This window comes from Homo sapiens, chromosome X (assembly GCF_000001405.40).
Source record: "Homo sapiens chromosome X, GRCh38.p14 Primary Assembly".
Lineage (NCBI taxonomy): Eukaryota > Metazoa > Chordata > Mammalia > Primates > Hominidae > Homo > Homo sapiens.
In genome coordinates, this window is record NC_000023.11 from 93,653,659 (window position 1) to 93,673,606 (window position 19,948).

Genomic DNA, 19,948 nt, shown 5'->3' on the forward strand with positions numbered 1-19,948 from the left:
CATACATACATATATTTCCATATTCTGTGACATTTTTCATTAAACAATTTATCCTAGGTATCTTTCAGTGTCATTATAGATCTACATTATTACTTTAAATGGTCTTCAAATTATTCAACCTTATAAATAAACCGTAACTTATAAACTGAGTTTTCTATTGCTGGACATTTACATTGTTTTCAATATTTCAATATTATAAGCAATACTGAAATGAACAGTATTAAAATCGTTTTTTCTTCACTATTATTTCCTTAGGACAAATTCCTTGAACATTTGTTGGTTCAAAGAGTATGCACATTTTTCAGGTTTTCGTTAAGTATCATCAAACAGTACTCCAGCTATGTGTACTGTTTTACCCTTCCACTTGCAGTATTTGACAGTGCATCATCATTTTAATTTTTTTTTTATTACTAGGACAGGTAATTTTTAAAATTTTTTCTGAATTGCCTATTCCTTTCTTTTACAAGTAGTTTTATATTTATACTTTGTTTTACAAATGGTGTTAGTATGGTCTTTACTTGCAAATATCAAAACAGATCCTGAAATTGAATGAGGAATGTAACTCAGTCTCTTTTACCTTTCTTTAGATATAAGTTACCATTAGGAAAACTATCACAAAGCAAGTTGCAAGATACAGAAGACAGGCCAAGTAAAGAAACTTAAACATCAAGAAATTTTGATATATTTTGTAAAAAGTGCCTAATATATTTTTGCTGGATAGAAATACACAAACACTTTGTGTGAGCTACATTTAATATCAAATATGTGATTCTGCTCCAAAAAATAACTATTCTCTTTTTGCATATAAATACTACTATAATTAAAGTTTGCCAATAGCATTTGTGATCTCGTTTCCTCATAAAAATATCTTGAAATAAAAATCATACTGCTGGGTTAATACTTCTTCAAACCTGTACCTTAATACACGCATTTGTTTTGTTGGTTCTTGTAAAGTTACTTCATCAGTAATAATTATACATGAAGAAATAGTTACACTATCTCAACAAACCTAATTGCAACCTTTGAAAAGACTCATTTCTAAAACTGTTGTTCAGAAAATCAACCAGAGATTTCTCTATGCTAGAGAAATTTTCTGAAGGCTTTCCCATGTACTGCTTAGAGATTGTTCCTTTAGTATACATTGAAATAAGTCAGGTTTTATTTTTCTAAAGCTTCATCATCTAGGCAGATTTTTTTAAATAGCCATGTTCTTTCTCTAGGACTTCAGACTACTTAAATACTACTTAAATACACAGAAGAATTTCAATTAATTGGCAACCTGCTGACACAATTATTACGCTGTGAAAACACATTTCTTCCAATATTTACAGTTATATTACATTTGTTGAAATGCTTTCTTTGTACCCTGAACCCAGGAAAAAAAATTAACAAAATAATAAATAGATGTGATTTATTTTTCCTCGTCCATTTTTTTCATTTGCCTTTCAATGTAAAGACTGCAGAATTATATTAAAACTTGAATTACACCTAACTTATTCTAAGTAGTGCATCCTATTTCCAGAGTCCTTGTTTTCTATTAGACTAAAGAAACTGTTTTTTTTAATGCAAGCCAGGCTGGTGTGAGTTAATACCAATTCCAGGAGGTCAACATTATAATATTTGGCCTGAAGTTGTAAATAGTGGTAATAGTTTAAGGAAAATATTTTGAGAAAGACCTCTACTTTCCTCAAATGTCATTTCTCACCGGGTACAGTGCAAATGTTTTAAATAGGTGCCATTTGGTATGTCATCCATTGCCTTTCACCTTTTGTATTCTCTTAAACTTCTACAAGCAATGAAAAGAGAACCCTAGGACACTGTTGGTGGGAATGTAACTTAGTACAACCACTATGGAGAACAGGTTGGATATTTGTCAAAAAACTAAAAATAAAGCTACTATACAATCCAGCAATCCCACTGCTACATATATATCCAAAAGAAAGGAAATCAGTATATCAAAAAAATATCTGCATGCCCATACTTACTGCAGCACTATTTACAATAGCCCAGATTTGGACACAACCTAAGTGTCCACCAACAGATGAATGGAAAAATAAAATGTGGTACATATATACAATGAAGTACTATTCAGTCGTTAAAAAGAATGAGACCCTGTTATTTGCAACAACATGGGTGGAACTGCAGGTCGTTATGTTAATAAGGTGAAGTAAAAGACGAACTTCATAAGTTCTCAATGATTCGTGAAAGCTAAACATTAAAACAATTGAACCCATGGAAATAGAGAATAGAAGGATGATTACCAGTGGCTGGGAAGGGTCATGGAGGGGCGCAGGAGAGTAAGGATAATTAATGGGTACAAAAATAGATAAAATGAATAAAATCTAGTATTTGATAGCACAACAGGGTGACTACAGTCAACAATAATTTATTATAAATTAAAAAAATAAAGGATTATTATTAAACTCTTTGTAGCACAAAGGATAAATACTTGAGGTGTTCAATACTCCTTTTACACTGAGGTGATCATTATGCATTGCATGCCTGTGTCAAAGCATCTCATGTATCCCATAAATATATACACCTCCTATGTTCCAACAAAAATTAAAAATTAAAAAAAGGCAGTGATTTTGCCCCAGAGAAATGGATTTCCTGATAAAAATATATTTTTTCAAAACCAATTCAATAAATTACTGACTGGTCTCTGCATCCCCTATTAATACCCTGGCCAAAACTAAAAGAGGTTTTGAGGAAAGCATTCCAAACTGGAAATAGTTTTTAAATTCCTGTCTTATAGTTTCACTGGTGTTATCAATGAAATATAAACATAGAAATGGGGGTCTAGGGTTCTAGAAAGGGTCCCATTATATTCAACATTACTAAAGAAAAAAGTGTATATCCTAGACTTTCACAGGCAACAGATTATGTAGAGTACTGGCCCTTTGGAGGAACAGATAAAAATTCAAAGTGACATTGAAAGAGTAAAGATGTAGTGATGATATAAAAAGGTAAGTGTTTACCAGAAATCAATTGAGAGCTATTGATTCAGGGAGAAAAAAACAAGAAAGGGCAGGAATAATTACATGACATACATGAAAGGTATGTTTCACGCATTTCATGAAAGATGTATACATGAAAGGATCTTTTTCTCTTGAAGCCAGCCTGGGTGAATTAATACCAATTTTAACATCTTTAGTTTCATGACATTTTGCCTGGAGTCCCAAGTAAAACTCACTTATTGTAATTGTGGCACTAATAATAGTAATTATTATTTGAATGTTTACTGTGTGCCAAACACTATGCTAAGTGTTTGAAAAATAGTATGTCATTTAAGTCTTACAATAACTCCATGAAATAGTCATTTAACAGTTCCATTTTATAATTATGATCAATGAGGATTAGAGAGTTAAGTGACTTGCTTAAGGTCACACAGCCAATAAGTGACAAAATTGAAAAGCAGTACAAAGTGTCTACAATGCCCAATTCTCTTACATTTCCCTTTGGGCTCTCCTCAAGGATGCTAAGGAGCCAATTGCTTTACCAGCTTCTTTTCCCTTCTTACATCTATTGATTTAAAGGCTGTCTATTGCTGCTAACTATAAGAAAACAGATGGGTAATAATAAAATATAACAAGTTGGAAAGCTAAAAGAAATCTTCAAGGGTAATGTATTACCCTGCATTTAATTGAAATATAAATTTACTAAGCCCATCTTCATCATATTCCTGGGTATGATGGATGTGAACTGCAGGCTAACCCCTACCCAATGGTCTCCCTAAGCTATAAATCTTGACAAAGTTACCCAGACATGAGCTACAAGTAGATTCAGTGGAGTACCACTACTAGATAAGATGAAATTCTTAATTTTCCTCTTTAGATGAGCACCTCAACCCCTTGCCTTCAGTTTGTACTTATTTCTTCTTGGCTGCTTTCCTTGGCCCTATCTAGTCCTGAGTATGGACAAGGAAGGCACTTTTCTAAGTGGTATAGCATGGTGAAGAGGTGGTATTACATAGCAGTTAAGAACAGGAACTCTAGCCAGACTGCCAAGTTTAAAGCCTGGCTTTGCCACTTACCAGTTGTGTAAGCTTGGGAAAATTACTTAATCTGTACATACCTGGTGTACTGTAAACACTATATAACCATTTGTTCTTGATAGTATTAAACTTTCATGCATTACAAAGGAAGACCTTGTAATTCCTTTTTTTTTTTTTTTTTTTTTTTTTTGTCCCTACGGGCAGTTCTGGCCACTGGCAGTGCTACTACTCCCTTCCCACCTAGTTTTATTTCCTATTGAGTGGTCACAGATTAGTGGTTAACACAATGGGATATACCACTTAGCAATTAAAAAAAACAACATCAACCTATTGATACAGGTACAACTTGGATGAATCTCAGGATTATTATGCTGAATGAAAACAGGACAATTTCAAAAGGTTACTTACTGTATAATTCCATTTATATAACCATCTATATTATTTTATCATTTAAATAATAAGAACAAATCAGTGGTAGTCAGGAATCAGAGAAAGTACGAGCTTAGTATAAGGGTGTATCTTTGTGGTAATGAAAAAGTTCTGAACCTTGGTTGTAGTGGTAGTTACACAAATCCATATATGTGATAAAATTGCTTAGAAATACACTCACACACACACGCACACACGAGTGCATGTAAAATCTAGTGCAATCTGAATAAGGTCTGTAGATTGTACCGATGTTAAAATATTTCCTGGTTCGGGTATTGCACTATAGTTGTGTAAAATGTTACCATTAGGGGCAGCTGGGTGAAGGGTACACAGGACCATTCTGTTCTATATTTGCAACTGTTTATAAGTATTTAATTGTCTCAAAATAAAAAGTTAAGAAAAACTAGTGATTAAGAATGCTTTTACTTGTGGGTAAACCTGGGCTAATTTACCTATTTGGCCAAAGTCAGTATTCACCAAGCTAGTATTTCTGGAACAATACTTAGTTAGGAGAGTGGTTGATAGTTGTGCTGCAGAGAAAGTTTTCTGAGATCAATACAGTTAGAGGATACTACATACTTCCAACTTGAGATTCCCCTCAATGTTGCTCTATGATTGTCAATCTTGGCTGTGCATCAGAATCATCTGAATAAAAAATAAAAGAATAAAGGATCTTCAATGAATCAAAGAAATAGCCACAACCCTACACTACACATTGAAAATAATATCTTCCTGTTGCAGTGAAATTTGGACCAAAGCAATGCAGGAATCTGAGTTAATGTCTGCTTCCATAGATTTCAGGCAGGGTGTAGATTCTCTTAAGTGTTCAAGCCCTGATGATGTGATTCAGGGCTGTGTCACACAGTGAAAACAACAGGAATGACCCCTTAGGAAAACAGTCCTATAACACAGAAGGGGAGCTAGAGGAAAGGGGAAATTATACCGAAATATCATCTTCATTTTCTGAGATCCTCCAGAGGAAATAGGCAACACACAGTTACACAGATGTTGGCCAGTGAGTCGAAAACAAATTAACTAAACAAGATCACATTGAACACCTCTAACTCAAGGCATTTCACAGAGTCACGCTGACCTGAAGCTCATTCCACAGATTGATTGCAATGAGCTGTGGAATGAGCTTCCTCTCCTAAATTAAGAGGAAAAATAACCTCAGCGGAAGACGTGACAATTTAGAGTGAGATGATAGTGAGACAAACCTGAATTAAAGCTTCTGAGATGCCCAAGTTCATTTCCTCCCACCTCTTCACATACTGCACTTCAGCAAACAGTTACTTCCATTCAAAGCTGAAAAAAAGGACACAACGCCTAATCATAGATGATTTAAAAGTAACCAGCAAAACAGCATAGACAAAAGACAATCAATTGGAGGAAAAAGTAAAAACAAGTTTTTGAAAATGATTCAGACGTTATTTAACAAATAAACTTCAAAATTCTATTGAATGATATAAAAAAGACAATTAAATGGAAAAACACACCTTGACCTTGGATAAGAAGACTGAATAATATGAAGTTCCTGATTCTCTGTAAGTTGGTCTATAAATTCAAAACATGCCAATCTAAATATCAGTAGGTTTTGATGGGAGAGGGAGTTGAAAAAAAGTGATACTGCAGATCATGTGGGGAAAAAATAGGTGAAAATATCCAAGAAAATCTTAAAAACTAGTTTTATAAGAAATTATTCTTACTAGATATTAAAATGTATATAAACAAATTTATGTTATAAGATTAACATATATAGTATAAGATTTATACTGCCACAAGAATAACACCTCTGAATAGGAGTACAAAAATAGGCCCAAACGCATACAATAATAAATTAGATAATAAAGGCAGCAATTAATTATATTGGATATTCAATATTTAATAAATGGTGTTGAAAAAACTGGTTAGTTGTGTTGAGAGAAAAAAAAAGTGGTGTAGCTATCTTGATCTTTACGTCAAAATTATTCCAAAAAGTTTAAGGCTTTAAATAGGACTATAAGAGTATTAGAAGAAACATAAGTAATTTTAAACAATGATCTTGGTGCAGAAAGATTTTTCTAACCAAAATACCTCAATTCCATAATGTGAAAAAAGATAACTATGACCATTAAAACTTCTGTAGGGAAAAATATAAAAACAAGTGAAAAAAGTAATGTTTGTAACACATGCAACATTTTTTCTTAATTTGGTGCTTAAAATTACTAATCACATATAAAAAGATGCCTATATCCAAAATGACATTATAAGGAACTGATGAAATAAATTATAGGACATCCATTTGATGTACATTATATAACATATACGTGCTTTGAAACATCACACTGCACCCCATAAATATGTATAATTACTGTCCAGATCGAAGATGGCTGAGTAGGAACAGCTCCCTTCTGCAGCTCCTAGCGAGATCAACGCAGAAGGCGGGTGATTTCTGCATTTCCAACTGAGGTACTCAGCTCATCTCACTGGGACTGGTTACACAGTGGGTGCAGCCCACAGAGGGTGAGCAGAAGCAGGGTGAGGCATTGCCTCACCTAGAAAGCACAAGGGGTCAGGGAACTCCCTCCCCTAGACCATGAGGAATGGTGCATTCCAGCCCAGACACTACGCTTTTCCCGCGGTCTTCACAGTCCACAGACCAGGAGATTTCCTCCGGTGCCCATGCCACCAGGGCCCTGGGTTTCAAGCACAAAAGTGGGCGGCCATTTGGGCAGACACCAAGCTAGCTGCAGTTTTTTTTCATGCCCCAGTGGTGCCTGGAATGCCCGCGAGACAGAACTGTTCACTCTCCTGGACAGGGGCCTGAAGCCAGGGAGCCAAGTGGTCTAGTTCAGTGGATCCTACCCCCATGGAGCCCAGCAAACTAAGATCCACTGGCTTGACATTCTTGCTGCCAGCACAGCAGTCTAAAGTCTACCTGGGAAGCTCGAGCTTGGTTAAGGGAGGGGGGTCCACCATTACTAAGGCTTGAGTAGGCAGTTTTCCCCCCACAGGGTAAACAAAGCCACTGGCAAGTTCGAACTTGGTGGAGCCCACCAGAGCTCAGCAAAGCGGCTGTAGCCAGACTGCCTCTTTAAATTCCTCCTCTCTGGCCAGGGCATCTCTGAAAGAAAGGCAGTAGCCCCACTCAGGGGCTTATAGATAAAACTCCCATCTCCCTGGGACAGAGCACCTGGGGGAAGGGGCGGCTGTAGGTGCAGCTTCAGCAGACTTAAACTTTCCTGCCTACCAGCTCTGAAGGCAGCAGTGGATCTCCCAGCTGAGCGATCGAGCTCTGCTAAGGGACAGACTGCCTTCTCAAGTGGGTCCCTGACCCCAGTGCCTCCTATGGGGAGACACCTCCCAGCAGGGGTCGAGAGACACCTCACACAGGAGAGCTCTGACTGGCATCTGGCAGGTGCCTCTCTGGGACAAAGATTCCAGAGGAAGGAACAGGCAGCAATCTTTGCTGCTCTACAGCCTCTGCTGGTGATACCCAGGCAAACAGAGTCTGGAGTGGACCTCCAGCAAAATCCAGCAGACCTGCAGCAGAGGGGCCTAACTATTAGGAGGAAAACTAGCAAAGAGAAAGAAACAGCATCACCATCAACAAAAAGGACATTCAAAGAGAAACCCCATCCAAAGGTCACCAACATCAAAGACCAAAAATAGATAAATCCACGAAGATGAAGAAAAACCAGTGCAAAAAGGCTGAAAACTCCAAAAACCAGAATGCACTCCTTGCTGGCAAGGGAACAAAACTGGATGTAGAATGAGTATGACGAATTGACAGAAGTAGGCTTCAGAAGGTGGGTAATAACAAACACTTCCGAGCTAAAGAAGCATGTTCTAACCCAATGTAAGGAAGCTAAGAACCTTGAAAAAATGTTAGAGGAATTGCTAACTAGAGTTGTCAGTTTAGAGAAGAATATAAATGACCTGATGGAGCTGAAAAACACAGCACGAGAACTTCGTGAAGCATACACAAGTATCAATAGCCTAATCGATCAAGCAGAAGAAAGGATATCAGAGACTGAAGATCAACTTAATGAAATAAAGCATGAAAACAAGATCAAAGAAAAAGGAATGAAAAGGAATGAACAAAGCCTCCAAGAAATATGGGACTATGTGAAAGACCAAACCTACGTTTGATTGATGTACCTGAAATTGACAGGGAGAATAGAACCAAGTTGGAAAATACTCTTCGAGATATTATCCAGCAGAACTTCCCCAACCTAGCAAGACAGGCCAACGTTCAAATTCAGGAAATACAGAGAACACCACAAAGATACTCCTCAAGAAGAACAACCCCAAGACATATAATCATCAGATTCACCAAGGTTGAAATGAAGGAAAAAATATTAAGGGCAGCTGGAGAATAAGGTCGGGTTACCCACAAAGGGAAACCCATCAGACTAACAGCAGATCTCTCTGCAGAAACCCTACAAGCCAGAAGAGAATGGGGGCTGATATTCAACATTCTTAAAGAAAATAATTTTCAGCCCAGAATTTCATATCCAGCCAAAATAAGCTTCATAAGCAAGGGAGAAATAACATCCTTTACGGACAAGCAAATGCTGAGAGATTTTTGTCAAATTGGATAAAGAGCCAAGACCCATCGGTGTGTTGTATTCTGGAGACCCATCTCACGTGCAAAGACAAACATAGGCCGAAAATAAAGGGATGGAGGAATATTTACCAAGCAAATGGAAAGCAAAAAAAAAAAAAAAAAAAAAAAAAAAGCAGGGATTGCAATCCTAGTCTCTGATAAGACAGGCTTTAAACCAACAAAGATCAAACAAGACAAAGTAGGGCATTACATAATGGTAAAGGGATCAATGCAACAAGAAAAGCTAACTATCCTAAAGATATATGAACCCAATACAGGAGCACCCAGATTCATAAAGCAAGTTCTTAGAGACCTACAAAGACGCTTAGACTACCACACAATAATAGTGGGAGACTTTAACAACCCACTGTCAATATTAGACAGATCAATGAGACAGAAAATTAACAAGGTTATTCAGGACTTGAAATCACCTCTGGACCAAACAGACCTAATAGACATCTACAGAACTCTCCACCCCAAATCAATAGAATATACATTCTTCTCAGCACCATATCACACTTATTCTAAAATTGACCACATAATTGGAAGTAAAACACTCCTCAACAAATGCAAAACAACGGAAATCATCCTCAGACCACAGTGCAATCGAATTAGAACTCAGGATTAAGAAACTCACTCAAAACCGCACGACTACACGGAAACTGAACAACCTGCTCCTGAATGACTACTGGGTAAATAATGAAATTAAGGCAGAAATAAAGATGTTCTTTGAAACCAATGAGAACAAAGACACAATGTACCAGAATCTCAGGGGCACAGCTACAGCACTGTTTAGAGGGAAATTTATAGCACTAAATGCCCACAGGAGAAAGCAAGAAAGATCTAAAATCGACACGCTAACATCACTATTAAAAGAACTAGAGAAGCAAGAGCAAACAAATTCAAAAGCTAGCAGAAGACAAGAAATAACTAAGATCAAAGCAGAACTGAAGGAGATAGAGACATGAAAAACCCTTCAAAATATCAATGAATCCAGGAGCTTGTTTTTTGAAAAGATTAATAAAATAGATAGACCGCTAGCCAGACTAATAAAGAAGAAAAAAGAGAAGAATCATGCGGACCCACAAAAAATGAAAAAGGGGGATATCACCACTGATACCACAGAAATAGAAACTACCATCAGAGAATACTGTAAACAGCTCTATGCAAATAAACTAGAAAATCTAGAAGAAATGGATAAATTCTTGGACACATACACCCTCCCAGACTAAACCAGGAAGAAGTTGAATTCCTGAATAGATCAAAAACAAGTTCTGAAATTGAGGCAGTAATTAATAGCCTACCAACCAAAAAAAGCCCAGGACCAGACAGATTCATAGTCAAATTCTGCCAGATGTACAAAAAAGGAGCTGGTATCATTCCTTCTGAAACTATCCCAAACAATAGAAAAACAAGGACTCCTCCCTAACTAAATTTATGAGGCCAACATCATCCTGATACCAAAACCTGGCAGAGACACAACAAAAAAAGAAAATTTCAGGCCAATATCCCTGATGAACACCAATGCGAAAATCCTCAATAAAATACTGGCAAACTGAATCCAGCAGTACATCAAAAAGCTTATGCACCACCATCAAGTCAGCTTCATCCCTGGGATGCAAGGCTAGTTCAACATACACAAATCAATAAATGTAATCCATCACATAAACAGAACCAATGACAAAAACCACATGATCATCTTAATAGATGCAGAAAAAGGCTTCGATAAAATTCAACACCACTTCACGCTAAAAACTCAATTATGTAGGTATTGATGGAACGTGTCTCAAAATAATAAGAGCTATTTATGAGAAACCCACAGCCAACATAATACTGAATGGGCAAAAGCTGGAAGCATTCCCTTTGAAAACCGGCACAAGACAAGGATGCCCTCTGTCACCACTCCTATTCAACATAGTATTGGAAGTTCTGGCCAGGGCAGTAAGGCAAGAGAAAGAAATAAAGGTATTCAAATAGAAAGAGAGGAAGTCATGTTGTCTCTGTTTGCAGATGACATGATCATATATTTAGAAAACCACATTGTCTGAGCCTAAGTCTCCTTAAGCTGATAAGCCACTTCAGCAAAGTCTCAGGATACAAAATCAATGTGCAAACATCACAAGCATTCCCAGACACCAATAATAGACAAACAGAGGGCTAAATCATGAGTGAACTCCCATTTACAATTGCTACAAAAAGAATAAAATATCTAGGAATCCAACTTACAAGGGATGTGAAGGACCTCTTCAAGGAGAACTACAAACCACTGCTCAAGGAAATAAGAGAGGACACAAACAAATGGAAAAACATTCGATGCTAATGCATAGGAAGAATCAATATCATGAAAATGGCCATGCTGCCCAAACTAATTTATAGATTCAATGCTATTCCCATCAAGATACCATTGACTTTCTTCATAGAATTAGAAAAATCTACTTTAAATTTCATATGGAACCAAAAAAGAGCCTGTATAGCCAAGACAATCCTAAGCAAAAAGAACAAAGCTGGAGGCATCACGCTACCTGACTTCAAACTATTCTGCAAGGCTACAGTAACCAAAAGAGCTTGGTACTGGTACCTACACAGATATATAGACCAATGGAACAGAATAGAGGCTTCAGAAATAATGCCACACATCTAAAACCACGTGATCTTTGACAAGCTTGACAAAAAACAAGCAATGGGGAAAGGATTCCCTATTTAATAAATGGTGTTGGGAAAACTGGCTAGCCATATACAGAAAACTGTAACTGGACCCCTTCCTTACACTTTATACAAAAATGAATTCAAGATAGATTAAAGACTTAAACATAAGACTTAAACCTTAAAAACCCTATAAGAACACCTAGGCAATATCATTCAGGACCTAGGCATGGACAAAGACTTTATGACTAAAACACCAAAAGCAATGGCAACAAAAGCCAAAACAGACAAATGGGATCTAATCAAGCTAAAGAGTTTCTGTATAGCAAAAGAAACTGTCATCAGCGGGAACAAGCAACCTACAGAATGGGAGAAAATTTTTGCAATCTATCCATCTGACAAAGGGCTAATATCCAGAATCTACAAAGAACTTAAACAAAATTACAAGAAAAAAAAAACCTTCAAAAAGTGGGCAAAGTATATGAACAGACACTTATCAAAATAAGACATTTATGCGGCCAAAAAACATATGAAAAAAAAGGGCATCATCACTGGTCATTAGAGAAATGCAAATCAAAACCACAATGAGATACCATCTGATGCCAGTTAGAATGGTGATCATTAAAAAGTCAGGAAACAACAGATGCTGGAGAGGATGTGGAGAAATAGGAACAACTTTATGCTGTTGGTGGGAGTGTAAATTAGTTCAAGCATTGTGGAAGACAGTGTGGTGATTCCTCAAGGATCTGGAACCAGAAATACCATTTGACCCAGCAATCCTATTACTGGGTATATACCCAAAGGATTATAAATCATTCTACTATAAAGACACATGCACACGTATGTTTATTGCAGCACTGTTCACAATAGCAAAGACTTGGAACCAACCCAAATGCCCACCAATGATAGAGTGGATAAAGAAAATGTGGCACATAAACACCACTGAATACTATGCAGCCATAAAAAAGGATGAGTTCATGTCATTTGCAGGGACATGGATGAAGCTGGAAACCACCATTCTCAGCAAACTAACACAGGAACAGAAAACCAAGCACCACATGTTCTCACTCATAAGTGGGAGCTGAACAATGAGAACACGTGGACACAGGGAGGGGAACATCACACACCAGGACATGTCAGGAGGTGGGGGGCTAGGGGAGAGATAGCATTGGGAGAAATACCTAATGTAGATGATGGGTTGATGGGTGCAACAAACCACCATGGCACGTATATACCTATGTAACAAACCTGCACATTCTGCACATGTATCCCAGAACTTAAAGTATAATTAAAAAAAAATACAAATATAAAAAATGTACAATTATTCCACATCAATTATAAATCCAATACAACTAAAGAGTGAAGATTTACATGCACTGATATAGATAGTACTTCAAAATATAATAAATGAAATATGAAAGGTATAAAATAGTAATTATCATGTTTAAAGACATATACATACTTTCTCATATAAAGTGTCAAATTTCAAATAAAGTTTTAAATTATTTTGTACTTTTCAATATATCTTCCAAATTTTCTACAGTGAACACATTTCATAATCAGAAGATTTAATAAAACAATATAACTTTTAGTAAAGCACAATGCAAAGAAAATATGCTTGATCATCTTCAAACTCAGGTAATTAAGCATAATAATTTAAAAATTACAAATATAATTGAAGAGTAAAAGATGAATGAGAAAGCCACTTGCAAACAGTAACTTTTAATAACACTACTATGGGAAGTAACAGCCTAATTATTATTATATTTTTCTTTATAAATTTGTGTTATGCAAAATTCAAAACTATAAATAATCTAGGATAATTTATATTAATGGATTTCTGAAAATTCTTAGCTCTATGTTGCTTTATTCAAGAGGTAAAATTTTGGAATGTACCATTGCATAATAAATAAGTCTATTTTTACAGCAAATTAATGCAGGTATACCTGGTACAAGGTGACTTAAACCCTTCCTACTTCTGAGCTGGAGGCAAACATACACTTGGATTCATTCTTCAAGTGTATTTTTCCTCAAGTGAATATTAGCTTCACTGAAAATTTCTGATAATTTTTACTGTTGCTCTCTAATAGCTGTATGATAAAAATACATCATAAGAACTAAACTACATAGCAATAAATAAAGATTTTTTAGAGAATTTGTTGTGTTCTTCATCTCAAAGAAAGGTATACTTCTAAGTACTATGTCTTTTAATACTAAAACATTCCACTTTTGACATTTTGAAAATATAATCTACAAAAAACACAAAATGTAAAATTTTAAGTAATGCTTAATTGTGTTGAAATATTATACTGTAGGTTATACACTCTGCTTCTTCAAATCATGTTGTTTTCTGAGTTCAGATATTCAAAGTATTTTCCAGATATTGAAAACTCAGCTTTTCCATCTTATAAATTGTTGGGCCAAGATCTGTCAGCCTTTCAGTTTGCTGTCATCCTAGGCTCCAACAGACTCTTCTGTTTAGTGTAAATCTCATTTCTGAATTAGAAAAGCATGTAACTTAAATCCAGCAATCACACAGTTATAAATGAACCTGACTTTTTTTCTTCATGGGTTCCACTTTCAAGCACTGTATTTCAAGAGAACTAAAGGAAATAAAGCACTGAAGGAAATAAATAGTCTTTGGGAACTTCTTCAGTTTGGGTTGGAGTGTCAGATTTAAAATGTAATTATCTTACTTTTAGAGGGATGTTTTTTATTTTCCTCTGGTCTACGTGACATTCTTTACAGACCTTATTTTCTGAATATTCAAAAAGGAAGGGATCAGGAAATCTCATTTTAACATCAGCTCCTATCTTCTTCAACACCTTAATTTTGAAATATTTTGTTCAAATAAAATATAAATTATAACTTCAAAAAGTCAGCACATGCTCAGTACTTTAAGGAGTTTTTTCCTAAATCATTTTTCTCCTTTCCCATCTTTGCCCCTCCTTTTGTTTCTCAGCTTTACTAGTTAGCTCAGAATCCAGATTCTCCTTATTCAAAACCTCATCACTTTCAGGACATTCACTTTGCAATCTGTAGGTATAATCCCACATCTTCACACATGGGCTGGTGGGCTCAAACACCTTATAAAGTGAAGATATATACCTTTCCCCAGAGCCTGCAATTCCTGATAAAAAATCAGCTTCTATCTTATCGAATCACCCTGAAGCTTTTTAAGGGCAAATGAACTGGCATTGCCAGATAGTATGGCACCTCCAGGCTTGGAGCACTCCAGGCTGCAGAATAGGACATTTGCATCCTTTGACTGTGTTGTCACTTTCTTCGCTCAGCTCGGGTACCTTCCATTACCATTTCAGTAGTCTCTGCTGCTGCTGCTTAGAGATGTCTCTTGTTATCTGAGTCTGCAACATTAAACAAAAAAGACCTAATATTTAGAATGACTAGGTGGATGCTCAGAGCCCAACTCAGGAGGGAAATGAGCTCATTAACAAGGAGGTGGTCTGGACTGCAAAGGAAGATAAAGAGCGGGTGGAGGAGCAGTCTGGAGGAGGAGGTGACCTTTTCCTTGGGCCGGGGGCAGCTGGCCTAGACTTTGAGTCACAGCAACAAGAAACATCAAACCATAAGGAAGGTGCAGAAGATGACCCACTGAACACTTCTCACTATCTCAGCTTCCCTTTAGCTTAGTTCCCAGCGGGCTTCTCCTTCTAACATCATTCATTGTCTGAGCAAGTGTGATGGGCAAACATGAAGCCCAATACATGTGCCAGTCCAATGAGTTTTCTGGCTCTGCCCATCTTTCTTAACATGCAGAGGTGGTTGAAGCATCCACTACCGGCTGATTGCATTTCCAGTATCCCAACTTTACTGATGCATAAATCTTCGGCTCTCTGCAAGCCTGCCCCATCCCTAGATCTAACTTTAAAGTTAAAAAGAACAGTAATAAAACCTTACCGAGAGATAAACTGGGAAAAAATACACCAAACCACAAAAGAGCATATCTTAGTATAGTGTGCTTCTGAGTGATTTTCATCTTCTGCATTTCTGCTTCTATTTTGCAAACATTCTATAATAACATGTATTCCTTTAATATGGAGAACACAGAAAGGGAAGGTGCTAAATACTTTTGCTAAGAGTTCTAAGATGCAAAAAGGATATTGCATCCTATGTAGAAGTTTTAAGGGCTCTGCTCTTTGTGATGTCTGGCAAGTACAGTATATATCCTATTTGGACACCTATGCATCAGGAGCCAGGTACACTATATTTGTTACATTCTTCATTTTGGTTTTGGCATATAAGTAAATCTGCCATATCCATTCTTCGTGGATGCAAAAATCTCAGAAATAAAATAGGCACTGTAAAAACAATGTTATGGGCCAGACGCAGTGGCTCATGCCTGTAATCCCAGCACTTTGGGAGGCCGAGGTGGGCGGATCACCTGAAGTTGGGAGTTCGAGACCAGCCTGACCAATGTGGAGGAACTCTGTCTCTACTAAAAATACAAAATTAGCTGGGTGTGGTGGCACATGCCTGTAATCCCAGCTACTTGGGAGGCTGAGGTAGGAGAATCACTTGAACCCAGGAGGCGGAGGTTGCACTCCAGCCTGGGCAATAAAAGTGAAACTGTCTAAAACAAAACAAAACAAAACAAAACAAAACAAAAAAAAAAAAAACAAAAAACGCTGTGGTATTGCTAAAAACAATAATTTGCTTCCTGATGTTGTGGAAAATCATAAAGCAAACCTAACTATCTGAACACATGTGGTGGGTTAAATATGACATTGGTTTTAATATTTTTACATTATAGAAATTGGGGAGTGACTATTGTTAAGCAGAATAAAAGTGAGATGCTAAACTATATATGGTAGGGTACGGAAGACTATTATAGATCATTTTAGGCCTAGAGAGTCAGAAATTCTAAAATCCTCTCTTACTTCGGCTACAGTTTCCTATGAGATTTTCAAGGGAAACATTTGTGGACTGGGAAATGGCAAATGTGAAATAAGGTACCACTTTATTATATGCTGTGCTTCTTCCTTTATGTCCAGTGCAAAGCTCCCTGGTAAACTGAGTTTAAGTGTGAGAGAACCTCCTCACACTTATCTCAAACCAAAATCTTAGGATCTCTTTGTGACCAGCTGCATGGTGAAGAGATGAGAGCCTGGTATCACTGTAAGAAAAAATGAGTCAAGGTAGTGTGACCTCCTTCCAAGTCAAGGTGAAGGGTGGGTCCATAGCTTGTCTTCTACATAACTGGTGTTGTGAGTGAGGCACTCCTGCTCTCCTTCCCCTCTTCTCTCCAGTTCCCTTTGCCACCGCCCCCCCCCCACATTCCTTCTGCTACCCACCTTCCTCCCTTTCCCTTTTTCACCTCTCTTCTTTCTTCTCCACCCCTCCTTTCTCCCTCCTCCCTTACCCATCCCCATCCCCTTCTACCTTTCCCTTCCTTTCCCTCCATGCCATGTTCCTTTTCCTTGTTCCATTGCTCTCCAAAATCTTGAATGAGTGTCCTCCAACAGAAAAGCTAAGATGTGGGAAATACATCAGAATGTTAATAATAGTTATCTTTTTATTAAATTGTCCTTTTCCTTGTGATCCTCTACTTTCTTCTATGATAAGCATCCCTCTTTTATAGTCAGGAGAAAAGGCTAGATTTTTATAGTATAACACACTTTAATATTTATTTATTTTAGGTTGCAATACAAGAACATGAAAAACAGTATCAAATGAAGTGATCATTTTCAGTGAAAGGGAAGGTAGAACACAATACAAAGAAAACACGGTATCTTTAGTTTACAATTACACAATATAAGATGAAGAAACTTTTTCAAAAATACTATGTTATATTAACACCTCAGTGGTAAACAATAACATCATTATGATTAAATTTATAGGCCACTATATGTCACATACACAAGGTCTCAGTTGAATCAAATGTGGTCTTTTCACATTAGATGTATGCTAATCTTTTTCAAGCAGTCAAACTTCAAAATACACTGTTTTATTTACTATAAGTACTGGATTTCTATAGCAAACTAATGAAGGCACAGCTAGTGCAAGCAGATTTAAACCCTTAGTCTTATGGGCTGGAAAAAAGAAAAAAATAAAACACTTGCATTGGTACTTCATGAACTTTTTTTTTCAAGCAAATATTTGTTTCAGTTAACAATTCTGACAGTTTCACAGCTACAGTCTAACAGAAACATGACCAAAGGACATCACAAAAATCAACACTGTGTAGCACCAAACTAACATGCTTTAGATAATTGACAACAGCTTACATATTTTGAAGAATATTATACTACAACAGCCTAGATAGAATAAACTGGCACTTAGACACTTTTTAGGACTATTTTTAAAATATAGACTACCAAGAAACCACAAAAACTTGACTATAAGGAATAATAGTGTTCAGGTTACAGGTCAGGGTTTTACTTTTTTCAAGGCTGTATGAATCTGCTTCACTTCTTGAGATTTTAAGATTCTTGAAAAATCTTTCAGATTGACTTATTTTCTGTATTTCTTGTTTCCATAATGTTTGCCAAATTGATAGTAGGTACCATTGACTTCTCCAGTATAGTAATAGATTGATTTCAGGATGACATTATCATGTAAAATCTGCCCAATTTCAAAGTCCTCATCCAGGATAGCATCTTCTCGTGGTTCCAGCTTCCCAATCATAGGAATCTCAGGAGGACTAAAGAAGTTGAAGAATGATGCATTAGGAACCACTCTTGGCTGGATTTCAATTTCTCCAGTAGCAGTTGTGCGACTCTGGGTAGTTGTCACAGTAACATCTTTTCCTCTTCTCCAGTCTATCTTGCAGCCTTTGCAATCTTCAATTTCCCATCCCCAAGAAAAGAAGGGATCATTGTGATCTGGTTTTGCCTTTATTATATATGTCTTCACCAGCACCTCATTTCTGAAGTATGGGTTGGGTAGAAAATGAAATTCAAAGGTGTAACTTACAGGCTGGCCAGGTTTTGAGAACTTCAGGCTAACATCCGACAAGAACTTCAGAATGGGCTCATCATACTTCTGAATCATAGGCCCGAGCTTGTCAACATTCTTTAAAACAATCAGCCAATAGTCAGGAATGCCTTTAGGGTCTTCTCTTTTAGGCTTTCCCTTCCTAGCTCTTTTAAGATCTACACTGTCCTGAAGCCTTTCCTCAGGAACTCTTTTATGAGTCTCTCTTACTGCAGCCCTTGCCTTAGCCTCTGTTGCTTTAGGCTGTTCTTTATCATCTGCCTTTACCTGGGGGACTTCTTTAGGATCTTCTTTTACTTCAGGGGTTGCCTCCATACAGTCTTTAGAATCTGCTTTTTCTTCAGCCTTTACCTCAGGAATTTCTTTAGGAACTTCCTTTTCTTCATCCTTCACCTCAGGAATTTCTTTAGGAACTTCCTTCTCTTCAGCTTTCACCTCTGGGTTTTCTTTAGGGTTTTCTTCTTCCTCACCCTCTAAGGGAGGCATTTCACTAGGGGTGTTATCCTGCACCTCCTCATCACTGCTGAACTCCTCATCCTCTGAATTCCATTCACATTCTTCTTCTGTAGGCTCGTATTCTGCATTGATGATTTGAAACCGCCTATCATACAGAGGCTTGTTGAGTTCAGCATATTTTCTTTCAAGATCATGAATTGCTTTTAAGAACAGGGTATCTACCTTGTCACATTCATCTTGAATGTTTCTAAGCGCTTGCACACGATTTCTAACTGCCTGAGGCAGCCTATCCACGAAATTTGTTCCCAACGGGGCCCGCCGCGCCCTTCTGGAAGGCTCAGGTACCCTCTTCTTTCTATACAAGCGGCTGCGGCTGCTAGTGCTGCCGCTGCTGCTGCTGCTGCTGCCGCTGCCGCTGCTGCTGCCACTAGTGCTGCTGCTGCTGCTGCTGTCACTAGTGCTGCTGCTAGAGCTACTGCTGTCAGATTCTTCCCCAGAATCACTAGTCGAGCTAGCCATCTCCTCTTCGGCAACCCCATGGGCGACAGGTTCCGAGACCATTTTAAAATCTGCTTCTGCCATCTTGCAAGCCTACAAACTCTACCAGGGAGACCGCGCGACCAGAGATGGGCAGAAAATGACTCACGGATGCTTGAGTGGCGGCGGCGGAGGCCCGGGCTGCGGAGGTGGCAGCGGCGATGGCAGCAGCGGCGCAGAGCGGAGCTGGAGCTGGGGATGCAGAGGCCGGCGCTGAGGTGGCAGCGGCAGTGGAGGCTTGGGCGACAGCGGTGGCGGCAAGGCCTCTCCCGGCTGCAGCTAGAGTGCCGAGATGTACCGCAGCCGAATGGCGCAGTATGAGACCCCGAGATCTCTTCTCGTTTTAG

The 19,948-nt window shown here is 37.7% G+C and overlaps 1 protein-coding gene across 1 annotated transcript; it reads right to left on the reverse strand.

Moving 5' to 3' along the window:
• NAP1L3 (nucleosome assembly protein 1 like 3) lies at positions 17,272-19,920 on the reverse strand. Its single transcript, NM_004538.6, has one exon. It carries the CDS (start codon positions 19,644-19,646, stop codon positions 18,126-18,128), a length of 1,521 nt encoding a protein of 506 aa, NP_004529.2. The 5' UTR covers positions 19,647-19,920; the 3' UTR covers positions 17,272-18,125.

What these genes read in the sequence shown, in the direction of transcription:
- NAP1L3 (NM_004538.6), bottom strand. Translation starts at nt 19,646, where the DNA reads ATGGCAGAAGCAGATTTTAAAATGGTCTCGGAACCTGTCGCCCATGGG.